The sequence below is a fragment of the Homo sapiens genome, chromosome 3 (assembly GCF_000001405.40).
Source record: "Homo sapiens chromosome 3, GRCh38.p14 Primary Assembly".
NCBI lineage: Eukaryota > Metazoa > Chordata > Mammalia > Primates > Hominidae > Homo > Homo sapiens.
In genome coordinates this window covers 65958516-65975955 of record NC_000003.12, presented here as the reverse complement: position 1 = coordinate 65975955, position 17440 = coordinate 65958516, and the positions used below count along the sequence as shown (strand labels likewise).

General features: G+C 41.4%; 1 protein-coding gene and 1 long non-coding RNA gene across 7 annotated transcripts in view, besides 1 other annotated feature; both read left to right on the top strand.

Annotated features, from left to right (window-relative positions):
• The window catches only part of LOC124900543 (uncharacterized), a 55600-nt gene extending 48359 nt beyond the window's left edge, over positions 1-7241 (top strand). The window contains exon 2 of the long non-coding RNA XR_007095951.1: positions 1204-7241. This is a non-coding gene — a long non-coding RNA (uncharacterized LOC124900543). The remainder of the gene's footprint in view (positions 1-1203) is intronic.
• Positions 1-17440, top strand: part of MAGI1 (membrane associated guanylate kinase, WW and PDZ domain containing 1) — a 685393-nt gene that overhangs the window by 62963 nt on the left and 604990 nt on the right. The window lies entirely within an intron of this gene.
• Positions 10973-12172: an enhancer, noted in NCBI's record as "P300/CBP strongly-dependent group 1 enhancer chr3:65949459-65950658 (GRCh37/hg19 assembly coordinates)". NCBI's record gives its function as "activates an origin of replication core promoter dependent on BRD2, BRD4, P300/CBP, MED14 and CDK7 cofactors, with strong dependence on P300/CBP, by STARR-seq in HCT116 cells {active_cell/tissue: HCT116}" and the evidence as "EXISTENCE:reporter gene assay evidence [ECO:0000049][PMID:35650434]".

Here is a 17440-nt window from a genome sequence, read left to right as displayed (position 1 = left end):
GTATTTGTTTCTCTTGAATTTCCAGCTCAAAAATATAATTTGAAGTATTTTGTATTAGTACATGCCAGCCACTGCCACCATCCCTCAGAAGCATCTTACATAAGGAAGAATGTGCAAAATAAGGATACTCAGGCTTGATACGGTCAGAGAAGAGCTTGAGAGAGTCAACAGCTGTCAGTTATGACTTAATCTTAGTCCAAGTCTGAGTGACATTTCATTGCAAAGGAAAAACTAGAGAGAAATCAGTGTAAAGATTTGGTGATGCAAAAATCATCTTTCTTTATTATTTTATTTTATTTTTAATTTTTATCTATTTATTATTTTGAGATTGGGTTATGAGACTGTCTAATTTTTGTATTTTTGGTAGAGAGGGGATTTTGCCATGTTGCCCAGGCTGGTCTTGAACTCCTAGGCTCGAACGATCCGCCCACCTCCACCTTCCAAAGTGCTGGGATTACAGGCTTGAGCCACTGTGCCCGGCCTAAAAACCATCTTTCAATTCAGACTTGGGTAATAAGGCATTCTAGAAAGTATTTTCTTAAATTTTATGCCTTATATAAAATGTCGAAGACCCCAGCATTTCAATATGCTGGTATGAAGACTAGAAATGACAGATTATTTTGTGGTCTAAATTCTTTTTCCTTTAAGTTTGGCCTGTGCTCCATAAAGAGACAGACATAATTTTGGAAATTCGCTTTCTTGGCACTGATGTGTTTGCTGAGTCAAGTCTTGAATTTTTAGAATGAAAACGAACTATTGCCATGAGTTGAAAGTTGGGCAGGAAGAACATTTCAATCATTTTTGGGTTAGGAAGAAAATCCAAGTTGACATTTCTCATGGATATTTACTGTTTTTTTTTTTTTAAATAGCTATTTCCCTTTTAATCTTTGCAACATAATATGAATGATTTGAATAAGTTTTTGCAGCTGTACAAAAATAACCCTGCCTATGGTACTATGTTAATTTGTTACTGGCTTTGCAATTTAGAAGATTTGATTATTTCAAACTCCACAGCCTCTATGATGTCCTCCAATGATCCCTGCCTTCTTGTATTTACACCTTCGTGCAGTCTGTTCCCAGGTCTGTGAGACCAATAGCCTAATGATGGCGTTTCACTTCCAGGATAAGGTTATAAAAATCTGCCTTCTGTCCTAGTCATCCTTTCTATTTCCCTCTCTCTTGGATCTCTTGCTCTGGGAGAAGCTATGCTGTGAGCAGTGCTGTGGAGAGGCGCACACAGTGAGGAACTGAAGCCCCCTGCTGACAGCCATGCGAATGAGCTTGGAAGAGTATCCTTTGGACCAGTCAAGCTGTAGATGACTGCAGCCCCACTAACACTGCAGAGGTGTGAGAGATGTTGAGCCAGAACCACCCAGCTAGGCCAGTCTTGGATTCCTGACCCACAGAAACTGTCAGATAATAAATGCTTATTGTTTGAAGCCAATAAGACTGGGGTTACTTGTTACACAGCAATAAATAACTGATACAAACTGGCAACATAAGGTTGGTTAATCCATGCATCCATCCATCCATCCATCCATCCATCCACCCATCCACCCATCCACCCAGCCACCCGCCCACCCGCCCACCCATCCATCCATCCACTCCTCCCTCCCTCCCTTCTTCCCTCCCACTCTCCCTTCTTCCCTCCCACTCTCCCATTTGCTCACTCTTTATGCTTTCAACAAATGTTTGAGGGCCTACTATTTCCCAGGAACAGTGCATAGTGATTAGGATGCTAAGATGATTGCCACAATCCATGCTTTGAAGGAGCAAAATATCTAGTTGTCTTCAGCAAAACAAGAGTTGAATTCTACTTTGTTACTTTCATAGTATTAAATTTGAATTCTAGAAGTAAATAAGAAAGATTTTATTTTTCTGTACCTTTCCTTTTTTAATATTCTTCATGCTAATTCTGAAAAAGGAACAATCAACATCCATTTAAACCATATTTGATGTATACTATAAAACTGAATTTTAGATGAAATTAATGCAAAGCATATTTTATGGCATCAGCATTTATAAATTATGTAATGCTTTAAGTGGATTATTTGTCTTCACTGTTTACATTTTTTTCCCTGATTATATGAATTGTTCTGAAAACAAAAAGGTACTAAGGAATTTAAGAAAGAAAATGAGACTTGGGTCAAATAAATAATAATATTGATAGAGTGCTTTCTCTATGCCATACTCTGTGCTAAGCAATTTATGTACATTTCTTTTATTAATCCTCACAAGGAATTGTAAGTATTATCCCTATTTTATGGATAATGAAACTAAGATTTAGAATAATTAGGAACAAAGTCCAAAAATCAGTAAGAATTGAAGGTGAATTTCAAATGCAGAACTAAGCTCTTAGCTGCTCTGTTGTGCATATGTTTATATGGCTGTGTAGTGACATGCAGTACCATGCTTCGGGAGTGCATAGTTTGGCTAGGAGACATTCACTTATACCATCTCCTGTGTGTACACAGAGCCCTTAAAGCGTGGTTTGGCCAAATTTGTATCAGAGTATCATGGGAGCTGCAATAGTCAGAACTTTAAATGGTGTATCTTATTAAATCGTGTACAACCCAAAGGAAATTTTTTCTACTTCCCTTACAAAGGTACTGAAGATGAAGAAAAAAGAGTAGAAAATACCAGGTTAGAGAACTTAACAAAAATTTACTTTATCTCATAACATTTTGGTGACTGTTAGGAAAGGGGGCTGAGATGAGTGAGAATAGGGGGCACCTGTTCTGCTGAGAGGAGAACAAATTGCCTTTTATTTATTTTATTTTATATTTTATTTTATTTTATTATTTTTTGAGACAGGGTCTCACTGTGTCACCCAGCTGGAGTGTAGTGGCATGATCATAGCTCACTGCAGCCTCCAACTCCTGGGCCCAAGTGATCATCCCATCTCAGCCTCCCAAGTAGCTGGGACTACAGGTGTGAGCCACCACACCTGGACTGCCTTACTTTTCATCTGAGTAAAAGTGTAGTTGGTAACCACCAGGAGGTAGTATACTAGTGAAGTGGTTGGGAGAACAAGACTTGATTGATTGGCTCTGGCTTTCATAGGAGCACCGCTGTCTTTCATATGTTTAACTTTCATCAACTTGCTGGAACTCATTTGAGCTTATTTTCCATATATAAAATAAGAATAAAACAAACATGTTTTTGTGTTGTTCTGAGGATTAAGTGTATGCGTATATGTGCCTAATAAATGTGGACCGTGAATAGTTGAGTATCTGACTGCTTCTCTTGATGTTTTTCCCCTTGTTGTTCTTCATCGTTATTCTTATTGTTAGCAGCTGATCTCACCCAGTCCTAGCCCTTCAGGGGGGATCATAATGATTTTAGCAAAAATACATGATATTTTGGACTGAATAGAAACTGCAAATAAAAGGAAGTGAAATGGCTCTGGCCGAGTAAAGATCATATAGTGCCTACTGCCCAGAAGTTGTTTACATAATAGAAACAAAGTTAAAAGGAATACCTAATTAATTAATTTATTATAATTTTAATAAAGGAAGAAACATGTATATGTCACAGGCATATGTCTTAGACATAGGAACCTGACTGCATCAGAAAATATTTAAAACTACCAAGATGTAGTCAATTAACCAGCAAAATTTCTTCTGCTGGACATTTTCTAAAATATATTCTCTGCTCCTTTCTCGCAATAGTTAACAATTTGAATTAGCAACAATGGCTTTATGTTATAAACCTCTTTCCACGGTCTTCTCTCCTTCACCTTCTTTTCTGCTGCTAGTGTGTGTGGACTTCTTGTCTGCTGTCTTCTGTCCCTGTCAGTTTTTCAAATGAGAGATAAGAACTGCTTTGCAATGTGAGGTGGCAGAATTAGGGACCAGTCAGGCTGCCAGGCTGGAGGAAGGTGGGCCTGAGCAAGCCTTGCCCAAGCACCTCCTTTCTTATTTCCTAGAATAGTCTGTTGCCCTTTGCTAGTTCTCTCATCCCTGGCTAACAGCTTGTCCTATTTGCCTTTGGATTTTATTATCTGCTCCTTCTTGCTGAGGTACGACATGATTATTAAGTGTGCCCAAGAGGAAACTCCATTGAGCTCTTGGGGTGAAGCAGCGTAAGAAGTTTGCTCCTTAGGAAAAATAAAAATCTTAACTGGTTCTGGTCCTTGGTCACTGGTACAGAGGTGGAGAGAAGTAGAGCTGGTTAAAGTCCAGGGAAGTGTGTCAGGCAGGAAGCTGGGAGGGCTTCTCCCAGCAGGGTGCAGGAAGGCTTCTGTGTCTTGTGGAAGTGATGATGTGCCCGAGTCTGCTTCACGAGTCTTTGTAGATGATAACAGGGCTCCTGTGAGCCCTCAGGTTGTTCACAGTTTGTTTTCTTTGAATTGCGTGAAAACATGTGCTTGACTTGGATGTAGATTTTATTTCCTTTCAGGGTGGAGGGTTGCAGACAGTAGAAGATGTTGGCTGCCAGCTTGGAGTGACTGCCAGGGACAGCTGAAAGGGGAAATTTAACGAGAATGTTGAGGCCTGAAGTGCTTCAGGGAGCATTTCAAATTGCATCTCTTTAGAATCAGATGGTCTCCAGAGATCATAATGGGTTATGAGAGGTGCCAGGGTTTGTTTTCTTCAGGCTCAACATCACTTAAGACCATAATCCATAGACTCTTAAGGAATGAAGCACAGTTCTACATTGGACCCACCTTCTTCAAGGATCTGAGGCTTAGTGGACCTTTTAAATAATGATTCATCAAATGTCATAGTTCATGGTTTTATTTATGTATTTTTGAGACGGAGTCTCGCTCTGTTTCCAGGCTGGAGTGCAGTGGCACAATCTTGGCTAACTGCAGCCTCTACCTCCTGGGTTCAAGTGATTCTCCTGCCTCAGCCTCCCGAGTAGCTGGGACTACAGGCGCCCGCCACCATGCCTGGCTAATTTTTGTATTTTTAGTAGAGATGGGGTTTCACCATGTTGGCCATGATGGTCTCAATCTCTTGTACCCGTGATCCGCCCACCTCGGCCTCCCAAAGTGCTGGGATTACAGGCATGAGCCACCGTGCCCAGCCTATTTATTTATTTTTTAAAACTGATCTATCTGTAGTTTTAGAATGCAGCTGATCCTTAGCCACACTGTGGCAAGTATTCATTATTCTTTCAATGTTCTCTTGGTGGCAAAGCCATGACCATTGAGACTTAATGTATCTGACTCTTGCTATAAACATGCTGTGTAACAAACTTCCCTGGAACCCATAACCTGCAACAGCAAGGATCTCATTCTCTCAGTCATAGCTTTGTAGGGTAGCTTTACTTAGGGTGTGGGTTGGCTGGTGTTGGCTCCAGAGTGTGGGGTTGGGTTCAGGTTTGTTCCATTTATTTCTGGAGTATAGGGATGCTGTAAAGAATTGTGAGCAATGGTTCAGTCCACCATACCATATTAAGCTTTCTTGATTCTTTTTTTTTTTTTTTAACAAAATTGTAAAGTATACCTGACACAAAATTTACCCTTTTAGCCACTTTTGCATGTACACTTCTGTGGCATTAGTTATGTTTATATTGTTGTGCAGTCGTCACCACCATTCCTCTCCACAACTTTTTCATCTTCCCAAACTGAAACTCTTTATCGATTACATATTAAGTCCCCACTTCCTGGTACCCCCGATCCCTGGCAACCAACATTGTATTCTAGCTCTATGAATTTAATTATTCTTGGTACCTCATATAAGTGGACTCATAGAGTATTTGTCCTTTTGTGATCGGCATAGTTCACTTAGCAAAATGTCTTCAAGGTTATTCACGTTGTAGCATGTGTCAAAATAGTGTTCTTTTTTAGAGCTTAATAAATATTCTGCCATGTATGCACACCTCGATTTGTTTATTCATTCATCTGTTGATGGACAGTGGGTTGCTTCTGTTTCTGCTCCTTTCTCACTGAGTTCCCATTTTTCCTATGGGTGGAACCATCTGAGTTGGTTTAATGACTTTTGCCAACCAAGACCCTGAGCCCAATCCTATTCATTCCTTTATTCAGCAAGTACTTATTAAGCCCCCATGGTATGCTGGCAACTGTTCTAAAGGAGCTTAAATGCTCTCAGTACTTAGAGCTGTGCTGTTAGGTGGTCGAGGGTTACATGTGTCTATTTAAATTTAATTAATGAAAGTCAAATAAAAAATTTTAAAATGCAGTTCTTCGATAATAGGAGCTGTATTTCAGGTGCTTAATAGCCCCATATGGCTAGTGGCTGCTGTTTTGGACAGCACATGATGGATATCTTCTTGCAGAAAGTTGTGTTGGACAGTACTGACTTAGAGGGTTTAGGGAAAGCCCTATAGCAGTGGTAAAGAGCAACAACTCCTTAAACCACAAGCTTATGAAGGGGTCACCTTGTGAGTGCAAGCGTGCTCTAGTTATTCAGCCACATTTGAGCCAAAAGCTAGGCAGTCAGCGTCCTTCCCCAGCACTTGGGAAGGTGAATGAGCAAGCAGTTCAGTTTCTCCCAGGTCAGTGGCAATTTTATCCCCTAGGGAGCACTTGGCAATATCTGGAGATATTTTTGGTTATTGCAACTACGAGGAGGGGGAATGGAGGCCAGGGATGCTGATAAACATTCTACAATGCACAGGACAGCCACCCCCCAGCCCCTAACACAGAACCATACCAGCCAAAATGCCAGTACTTCCAAACTTGAGAAATAACTCCGCTCCCGGTGAAATGGTTACAGATAACAGCTAGGAACTGTGAGAGCAATGTTTTGTGGCATGTGGAAGAAGCTACTATTGTACAGTGAGAGGAAATGAAGTCATGAAGATGGAGAGACTCCCCACGGTGTTCAAGTCTTCACTTCCCTTGTTCTCCAGACCAGCCTCAATTCTTCCCTTGGGTTCTATGAAGGACCTCAGTATGATAATAACTTTACTCTTTCGCTTGAATTACTCTGAGCTGAGTGTTAGCCTTTTGCTAAATGTTCCTAATACAGCAAATTACGTAGTCCTTCTTTTGATTGTATCCCATGTAAAACTTGGTCTACAAATATGCTCTCTGACTACCTTGGATTTAAGGTCGTCTCATCAAATGTTTAGCATACGATAAGCATTTAATTGCATGAAACTTACAGGGATGTTATGACTAAATTTCAAACAAACCATTACATTTCCTATGAATAAAAGTTTATTTTAAATGGTCTTATGTAGAATATTCGTATATATGTAATTTAAAGTGAGAAAACTGTGTAGAATTAAAAAATTCAATCATAATAAAAAAGGGTATAGAGTGAAAAGTCTCTAATATCCTGACTTCTCCAGTTTCTTGTCCTAGAATTGTTTATACGTATACAAGTATACTTGTTTCCCCTCCTTTCTCTTGCTCGCCTTTAAAAAAATATAATATATATATATTATATAGAGAATCTGTGTGCATATACACACACACCTTATTTTAAAAATGATATGTGTATATGAGTTTCTGCTCCTTGTTTTTTTCCACTTCACGTTTACAGCTACATTTTAGAGCTCTTTTTCCATCAGCACCAAGATGGATTCCATTCTTTTCAATGACTTGGAGTTTACCTTTGAATCAGTGTTCTGTATGTAATTCATTAAGCCTGTCCTCTGCTGATGAGCATTAAGGTTCTTTTCAGACTTTTGTTTTTACAAACAATGCTGGAATCAGTAATATATCGTTGTATTTTGATCTTTATGCACATATAATTGCATTTGTAAAATAAAATCCCAGTAGTGGACTTTCCTGGTTCAAAAGGTGGACACATTTCATGTTTTTGTTCGATATTGCCAAATTGCTCTTTCAAAAAGATGCATCATTTTTCACTTTTGCCAACTGTATAAGAACATGCCTAAAATTTAATTCCCTTTCTTACCATATTTTTCTTTCCATTTCTGTCTCTCATTTACTTGCTTCCCTTAGACCTAGTCTAGAAGCTGTCAGGCTTTCAGTTCAAGGGTTTATCTCATTACATTCCGTACAGCACCAGTCATAGGAGCATTTGTGAAAGACATAACCTGTCTCCTTTGAGAGCACTGCCTCAGTTTCCTCCTTGACCCCCAGGTGTGGGCATTACCGCTGCAGACTCACGCCTCCTCCCCTTTAATCGCTGGCTCAGCTTCACCTGGATGAAATCCCCTTCCTCACTCTTCCTTCCCTTCCATCCCCTGGGAGGTCTTCAAGAGCTGGTACTCATCTATAGAGCCTGAGAAGTTGAAATCTGTTAACTTGCCTTGGGTGCTTGCCAGTACTTAAAGACAGGCCTGGTTGGACCACTGCATTCTTTGTCTTTGTAGGAGAAGCCATATTTGTTTGCATGTACAGCGTCAAGAAACGTTTCCTGTCGACTGCTTTGGCCTGGCATTTCCATTAACACTTTCAATTGGGAGATGGTTTCTCTAGCTTAGCTGGCAGAGGACCCAGTTTTACAGCCCATCTGCTTCTCTCTGTTTCTCAGCCATTGGCCCCAGTTGGGGCAACCTGTAACTGGAATCTGTGGCCTATAGATTTTAACTGGGTTACTTTTTGGAGGGGAGGCAGGTCGGGGTGGGGAAATCCTTTCATCCTGACATTATTGGCGTAACCTTTTTTTTCAGTACGCTTCCATCTTTGAGGAGGAGATGACACTCTGGGCTCTTCCTTGCTCTCCTCCCGATGTTTTCTTATGAAAAATTTTAAACATACAGCAACGTTGAAAGAATTTTTTAGCAAACACCTGTATGCCCGCTACTTAGATTCTGCCACTGACATTTTACCATGCTGTTTTATCACATAGCTGTCCAACTGTCTATCACTCTGTCTACCTTTTTGGGCTTTTTCAGTGATGTTTCTCCAGCATTTCAAAGGCACCATGGTATGGGTAGTTAGGAATATGTGCTGTGGTGCCAGACTGTCTGGGTTTGAATCCTGGTCTACTGTCCACTAACTCTGTGACTCTGGGCAAGTTGCTGAGCCTCTTTGTGCCTCAGTATTGTCATCTGTATAATGGAAATCGCGGTAGTGCTAACTTCATAGAGTTTTGTGAGATTAAATGTATTAATACATGTACGACACTTAAAACAACGGTTACTGTCTATTAACCATTTGGTATATGAAAGAGAGTAAGTGCTAAAGTAATGTTCATTTCATGGATTTAAAAAAGACTAATTCAGTAGGTGTCATGGATTTTAGGGAGAAGCAACTGTGTGCCTGGTACTGTGCCAGACATTTTATGTACATTGCCTCATTTGGTCTTCAAAACCACCTTAAGCAGATTATCCCCACTTGCAGATGAACAAGCTGATGCCTCGTAATTAGCAGCAATGGGGTTTGATCACAAATCTATTTTATTTCTATGGCCATAATCTCTAGGCTTTGGCCGCGCCCCCACTCTCCCCGCTCCCCCCTACCCCTGCCCACCTATCCTGGAGTACAGTGGTGCCATCATAGTCCACTGCGACCTCGAACTTCTAGGCTCAAGCAATCCTCCTGCCCTGGCCTCCCAATAGTTGCCCTTTCTCTTTTTGTCAGTCGCAAGATGCAGAAATTTCAGGATTCTATAAGGTGGCAGAGATTTCTGTGATTGAATAAAACAAATAGGTAGACGCACCTAACTATTATTTATTATTATTATTATTTTGGTGTAACTTTTAGCTATTGAAAAGTCAGTCTTGCAGAAGAGAGAACACCTTGCTGTTTTTTGTAGTTTGGTAAAATACTGTCCCTTCCATTAGTATTTCCAATTCAGAGGGCTTTTGCTGTATGGGCTTTAACTGACTTAGCTGAATAGGAATTACCATGGGGTATTTTGGCAGTGCCATCATTGGTCACCTGTTTAGCTTCTGAGATGCTAGCAAATTACTCTTAGTTTGTTGTCCAAAATATTTTGTGGGAAGAAGGTTAGAAAATAGAAATAAGTATACTACTGACTCTATCTCATACATGGAAGTTTTGAGGACAAACCACACTCCAGTTGGTCATTTACCCTAGATTGTGGCATTGATACCGTCTTCTATCTCTGAGAAGTAACCCATAGTAAGCAGTATAAAGAGGAGGGTGACTGGTGGGGCGTGATGGCTCACATCTGTAATCCCAGCACTTTGGGAGGTGGAGGCAGGCGGATCACTTGAGGTCAGAGTTCGAGACCAGCCCAGCCAACATGGCGAAATCCCATCTCTTAAAAATACAGAATATTAGCTGGGCATGGTGGTGCATTCTACTAGGCAGACTGAAGCAGGAGTGTTGCTTGAACTTGGGAGATGGAGGTTGAAGTGAGCCACTGCACTCCAGGCTGGGCGACCGAGTAAGACTCCGTCTCAAAAACAAACAAACAAAACCAAAAAGAAAAAAAAAAAGGGTGAAACAGAGTCCTCAGATTTTGTCTTCTCACTTGAGTTCCTGCTTCAGTTCAAATTCATTCCTTTCCTCCTCTTCCATTAATCCTTTCTCAGTTCTTGAGATTACATCAAGTAAGTCTCTATCAGGTGTTAATATGTCTTCAGCACCCCCTAACATTTGCTAATTTTCCTTCCTAATTGAGAGACCATACCTTTTAATGGCAAGATTTTGCTTTCAATGTATTTGCTTTTAGTTACTTCATTTTTATGGCAGCTGGTTCTGCATGTCTATTCCTAGAGGTGATATGAAGTTTCCATTTAAAATATATTTAATTACATGAAAATAAAGTGGTTTTAAAAAGGGTAACGTGGAATAGTAGAAGTGGTACCCATATGTGGCAAAAGTCAGGAGGCTGGGATGCAAATGATGGAAGTTCTTTTGAACACTGAATTAAATGATCCTCGGAGTTTGTATGTCTGGTCTCCATTGACAATGGATACTCTGGGCAGATGGAACATTTACCAAATAGTTGCATCTGTTTTGAAGGTACTCAGTGGAAAACCATTTATACTCTACATCTGTTTCTTGGCTAAGAAAAATATATGCAGTAGATTCTGGCCACTTAGGAAAGTTTTAGAGCAAGGCTAATTATGCCTTGGGGCTTTGGCGAATGTGCTTGTCTTTATGAAAGAGTCCTTGGCATCATCAGTACCTAGAAGTAGATATGCATATGCATATAGTTTCCGGGAGAGTTTCTTATTGAAATTCTTTCCATTTCTTGTGTGGCCTGGACATCCACAAAAAGGGGACTGTGTATCTGTTGGACTTGGGGGTGGCTTCCTAAGGCTGTTGAACATAAAAAAGGGGCATCCTCAGGGAATCCCCTGAAAGTGAACCTAGGATATGCCTGAGGATTTGCATGATTCCTGGGGATTCTGGTCAGGGAGACAAAGGTGTGCAGCTGCTCAAAAAATCTGTCTGAGTGGAGTTAGTGCTAAACAACCTGAAGTTTGGAGAGGAGTGGAAGTTAAGGGCGATAGCCCTGCCTTGAAAAGAGAACCACATACTCACCGGTGATAACTTGTGGACAGTTCATGGAGCTATGAGAATGGGAGCAAATGAAAGAGATGGTGGTTCCCCCCGCCCCCGCACTACCCCCAAGATGTATAAAAGGATATACCTTTCTTTCTATCTCAATAAGAAAGGAACCAGTGACTCATGCCCTGTTCTATGAAGTGTTCTTCTCTCTATGACTCATTCACTCTCTGACCCACAGATATAAGTCCCTGTTTGGAGTGTCAAGGTGATTTCAGATGACCTTTCTTTCTCCTTTGTAGGGTCTGATTTTGATATCAGTAGGGAGGTGATACTCCCACAGTTAGGGCTGCCATACCTCAGCAGGTGAGTGGTTTGGCTTCTCTCAAGTCTTAACATTGTTTTTGTTTGTGGATCTCTGACGCTAAGGTAATTACTGGGGGCAGAGGTACACTGTGAATGAGACAGGGACAGGATATTGAAAGACAGGGCAGGGCAGTTGCTGTGCTTAATGGGTTAAAATTGTGTTGGTTTCTCAGTCTTCAGGATGGTGGCTCAAAGCTTCCTTGCAGAAATGTGATGCAGTAAAGATTAATGTTAACACCCTTAACAATTATATTAGATGAACTAGACTCAGGAATCTGACTCACTGCCCTTCATTGGAAGCTTGGCTTAGTCATTTCCCAGCCTTGTGGTCTCAGACAAATTTCTTAATCATTATGAGCTGTATTTGTCTAATATATGAAAAAGTGTTGACCTTCAGTCCACAGATATCATTAAGTACCACTCTATCCCTGGCATTGTGCCAAATCTTGAAATAAATAAATGTATACAACAAGCAAAGCTCTCTGTCTTTATGAAATTTTTCTCCTGTTTTGGGAGTGTTGTGCGATTTCAAGTAAAATAGTGCATGTTAAAGTAGTTCGCATAGGGCCCTTTTAAAATCATATAAGAATTATTATAGAAAAGTTACAAACTGCCCATCCTACATTACATTGTCATTATTTTTATTTATTTATTTATTTAGAGACTGAGTCTCGCTTTGTCACCTAGGCTGGAGTACAGTGGCGCGATCTTGGCTCACTACAACCTCCGCCTTCTGGGTTCAAGTGATTCTCCTGCCTCAGCTTCCTGAGTAGCTGGGACTATAGGCGCATGACACCATGCCCAGCGAATTTTTGTGTTTTTAGTAGAGACGGGGTTTCACCATGTTGGCCAGGATGGTCTGGATCTCTTGACCTTGTGATCCACCCACCTTGGCCTCCCAAAGTGGTGGGATTACAGGCGTGAGCCACCACACCTGGCCGAGCTACTTTTTTTTTTTTTTTAAGAGACAGAGTCTCGCTCTGTTGACCAGGCTGGAGTGCAGTGGTGCGCTCTCGACTCACTGCAACCTCCACCTCCCGGGTTCAAGCAATTCTTCTGCTTCAGCCTTCCCAGTAGCTGGGACTACAAATGCCACTCCCAGCTAATTTTTTTTTTTTTTCCCCACTGTGTTGGCCAGGCTGTTTTCGAACTCCTAAGCTCAGGCAATCCATCTGCCTTGGCCTCCCAAAGTGCTAGGGTTACAGACGTGAGCCACTGCGCCTGGCCAGATTGTCATTATTTTAACAGCAGAACTCTCTGAACAAATTACTTCATTGTTTTATATGCAGTGTTTAAAAAAAAAAACTCATCTTGTTTTAACTTTTTTTTTTTTTTTGCTGACACTTGAGGTAAAACCTAATTTCTCTGCTCATTTTTTTGTGACTTTCTTTTTCTTTTCTCCTCTTCTTCTTCTTTTTCTTCTGCTTCTTTTTTTTTTTTTTTTTCCCCCCGAGACAGAGTCTCGCTCTGTTGCCCAGGCTGGAATACAGTGGCATGATCTCTGCTCACTGCAACCTCTGCCTCCCATGTTCAAGTGTTTCTTGTGTCTCAACCTCCTGAGTAGCTGGGATTACAGATGTGGGCCACCACGCCCAGCGTTTTTAGTAGATATTGGGTTTCACCATGTTGGCCAGGCTGGTCTTGAACTCCTGACCTCAAGCAGTCTTCCCACCTCAGCCTCCCGAAGTGCTGTAATTACAGACGTGAACCACCTCGCCTGGCCAGTGTCATGACTTTCTAATGGACGTTTTGATGTAACAAAGCTGATCTTCCTAAATAAGCAAGTTGGAAAGTACATTTGTTGTGTGTGTAGTTCCTGGAGGAACTTTAGTACACTTGAAAAATACAATTCAGAGGCCGGGCGCGGTGGCTCACGCCTGTAATCCTAGCACTTTGGGAGGCCGAGGCGGGTGGATCACGAGATCAGGAGATCAAGACCATCCTGGCTAACATGGTGAAACCCCGTCTCTACTAAAAATACAAAAAAAAATTAGCCGGGCATGGTGGCGGGTGCCTGTAGTCCCAGCTACTCAGGAGGCTGAGTAGGAGAATGGCGTGAACCACTGCAGAGCTTGCAGTGAACGGAGATCGCACCACTGCACTCCAGCCTGGGCGACAGAGAGAGACTCCGTCAAAAAAAAAAAAAAAAAAAATACAATCAGATTAATGTCCATGAGAACAAACAGTCCAAATATGCTTTCTTCTTATCTTGAAACTACTGATATGACGGATAGGAGGAGACAAACAACCTCTTCATGAAGACTATGCCCAGTCACTTCATGGAAGCTGTCCCAATTTGGAAATAGCTTTTTCCAAAGCACTTAGCTGATTTGCTCAGGTGGCTCCCAGACTCTTAGCTCTAACCAAGCAATTTGCTGTAAACTTCTTTCTTCTCAGCACAATGGAACATTCATGATGTTTATCTGGCAGAAACTTTATTAAGGGAAGCCTGACAGGAAGGTTGGGGGAAGAGGAATGGAGTCTGTCTTTATTGGAAAGTTTGTTTCTTGAAACGTGTAAAATGACACGAATGGATGTGGTTCTTTGATATCAGTTCACCTCCTGACTGCGCTGAATACAAGGAACCCTGTTTTCTGCGGAATGCCTTAGTAAGGCACTATCTAGGCACTCACTAGACCTTTAAAAACAAGTCATTAGTTTCTCCAAGAGGGCTTCATTTTAATATTATTTTCTAAGATACCCTGCATAGCATATTTAAGGGTCTTTCTATGTTGAATGCACAAATGATTTTTCAGTGGATTTTTGGGGGGTTTTTACATGTTTTCCTTAATTTACATGAGGACTCTTTATTATACTGATCATCTATTTAGTTAACAGTGTACAGTTCAGTTATGCATTTTGCAGTGTTGCATAAGGAACTGGAGTTGAAAATAACAGTTGTAGTTACCACCCAGGAAGGGAGGGGCTGAATAACTGAATGAATTTAAAGAGGTGAGGGGAAATGCATTATGGGTAGATAGTACCAAGCTCAAGGTGACTTCTGTAGATTTGTGTTGACTAATTCTTCGACTGGACAGAGACCAGTTCGTTTCCTAGCTGTCTGTCCTACCTTTAATGCATTGCAGTAAGTGGTAATAGCCTGTTGCAGGGGTACACCAAATGGACACAGGAATGCCCCCTTCTGCCTTCCCCTCTTATCCCTAGATGAATGGTGTCATGGAAATTCAAAGGTTATTCCGGGATTTCATGTTAGTTGAAAGCAAGTTTTCTTATTTCTCATTTGGCATATCAATTTTTGCAGGCCTGCCATTTCAGGCTGGCCCATGCTCTGTACTGCCTATAGCATAGAAAAGACAGATGAACTTATAGCTTAGAGCCAAGGTACAGAAAGTAAATAAGAGTGATGTCTTCTTAATAGACAAGGAAGGAATCTATTTAACTGGGGTATTTCAACTCTTTTCTCAGAATTTTCTTTGTGGCCATATAGGAGCAAGGATGGTGAAGTTATATGGAAACAAAGGTGGGGAAATTACAGACAGAAATGGAAGAGTTGAAAGGAAGGAAGGATAACAAGAGCCCACCTCCCTGCAGTCTGCTCAAGGGAAATCTTGTACAATTTGTGTGGACAATGAAATTTATAATTTTGGCTTCAAGCTTGGGTGACTTTCTCCTCTCTGATTATAGGAAAAAATATTATAATTAAATTAGGATTACGCACTTTTTCCCCTCTTCAGTGTCCTTACATAGGACAGACATCCTTCTTGTTTGGTGACCACAGGGACCAGTGACATCCTAGTTTTCTTGGAATTGTTTGTACTTATTGCTTTATTAGAAACCGCCCTATAGTCAGATGTCTTGCCCACCCTTCTTCAGTTCTTTTCCCCCAAGATGTCAAAACCCTGGTGAGGAATCTGTGAAATGTGAACTATGATTTGGTTGTATGAGGTTCAGTGAAACAGCTGGAGGTTTTCCCAGCAGAAGGCTAACGCAGAATTGTCTAGACATCACTTTTTTCTTATCTAGTCAAGCTTTTCTGGGAGCTTTTCCACATGAGGAATCTAGGCTCAAAGGAAAATCAGTTTGACTGGCTAAAAGCTCATCTGGCAAGTTTAAATCACTCCGGAAACATACAGAGCTGCAGTCATTGGTTTGACAAGAACAGAAAGATACTTGTCTCTGTTGTTGCTAGTATTAAAAGAGAATTTATTGGCCGGGCGCGGTGGCTCACACCTGTAATCTCAACTCTTTGGGAGGCTGAGGCAGGCGGATCATGAGGTCAGGAGGTCGAGACCATCCTGGCTAACACGGTAAAACCCTGTCTCTACTAAAAAATACAAAAAAATTAGCTGGGCGTGATGGCGGGCTCCTGTAATCACAGCTACTCTGGAGGCTGAGGCAGGAGAATGGTGTGAACCCGGGAGGTGGAGCTTGCAGTGAGCCGAGTTTGCGCCACTGCACTCCAGCCTGGGCGACAGAGTGAGACTCTGTCTCAAAAAAAAAAAAAAAAAAAAAAAAAGAGAGAATTTATTTATTTGTCCATTAAGACATTAGGATGGGCGTGGTGCCTTACACCTGTAATCCCAGCACTTTGGGAGGCTGAGATGGGAGGATCACTTGAGTCCAGGAGTTTGAGACCAGCCTGGGAAACATAGGGAGACCTTGTCTCAATAATAATAATAATAATAATAATAATAATAATAATAATAATAATAAAAATGCTGGGATGGTGGCCCATGTCTGTAGTCCCAGCTACTTAGTAGGCTAAGGTGGGAGGATCTTGAACCCAGGAAGTAGAGGCTACACTGAGCTATGATCACACCACTGCACTCCAGACCCTGTCTCAAAAAAGGAAAAACCAAAATAACAAAAAGAGCATCACTCACTTACTGTGCACAGACATAGTGCCTTGCCCTGGGGAATCAGTGATGGGTAGAATAGTGATGTTCTTTGTACTGAATTAAATCATTGTATAGCTAAGAGGATAAAGACAACTTGAGTAAAGGGCAAGTAGGAAAGGAATAATGTCTTAAGGGAGTAGAAGACAAAGGATGCAGTAGAGAGGAAGGAGAAATCAGAGAACGTTTGAATGCAGTAAGCTTGAGGTGAGCCTGAGATATTTTTGGAATTTAACCAAAGGAAGGGGCTGTCAAACAAAGCTAGTTCAGAGTCCCAGGATTTGTATCTTTTGGAGTGACTGTGCCCTCAGAAACTTCCAGAGACTTTTAGAACTCATTCAGGCTTTGGCTTTGGCAGTTGTAAGAAGCACCACAATTCTTTCTACTCTGGACAAGGGGCAAAATGTGGTTTTTTTTGTTGTTTTTTTTTTTTGAGTTACAGTCTCACTCAGTTGGCCAAGCTGGAGTGCAGTGGCACGATCTCAGCTCACTGTATCCTCTGCCTTCGGGGTTCAAACGATTCTCGTGCCTCAACCTCCCCAGGAGCTGGGATTACAGGCACACGCCACTGTGCCCAGCTAATTTTTGTATTTTTAATATAGACAGGGTTTCACCATGTTGGCTAGGCTGGTCTCGAACTCTTGGCCTCAAGTGATCCTCCTGCTTTGACCTCCCAAAGTGCTGGGATTATAGGCCTGAGCTCCCCCGCCTGGCTAAATGTGTATTTTTGCTCACAAGCACCATGGGCATCAGCTTTAAACCTCCGATATATGGGCCATATTACCCGGAACTCTGTTGTCTTCTGTACGACTTTTGGAAGTTAAGTCTACCCATGCAGATAAGGATATTTAATTCCACACTAACCTCAGCTTCTCTTAGGAACCACTGCAGAGAATGCCCAGTT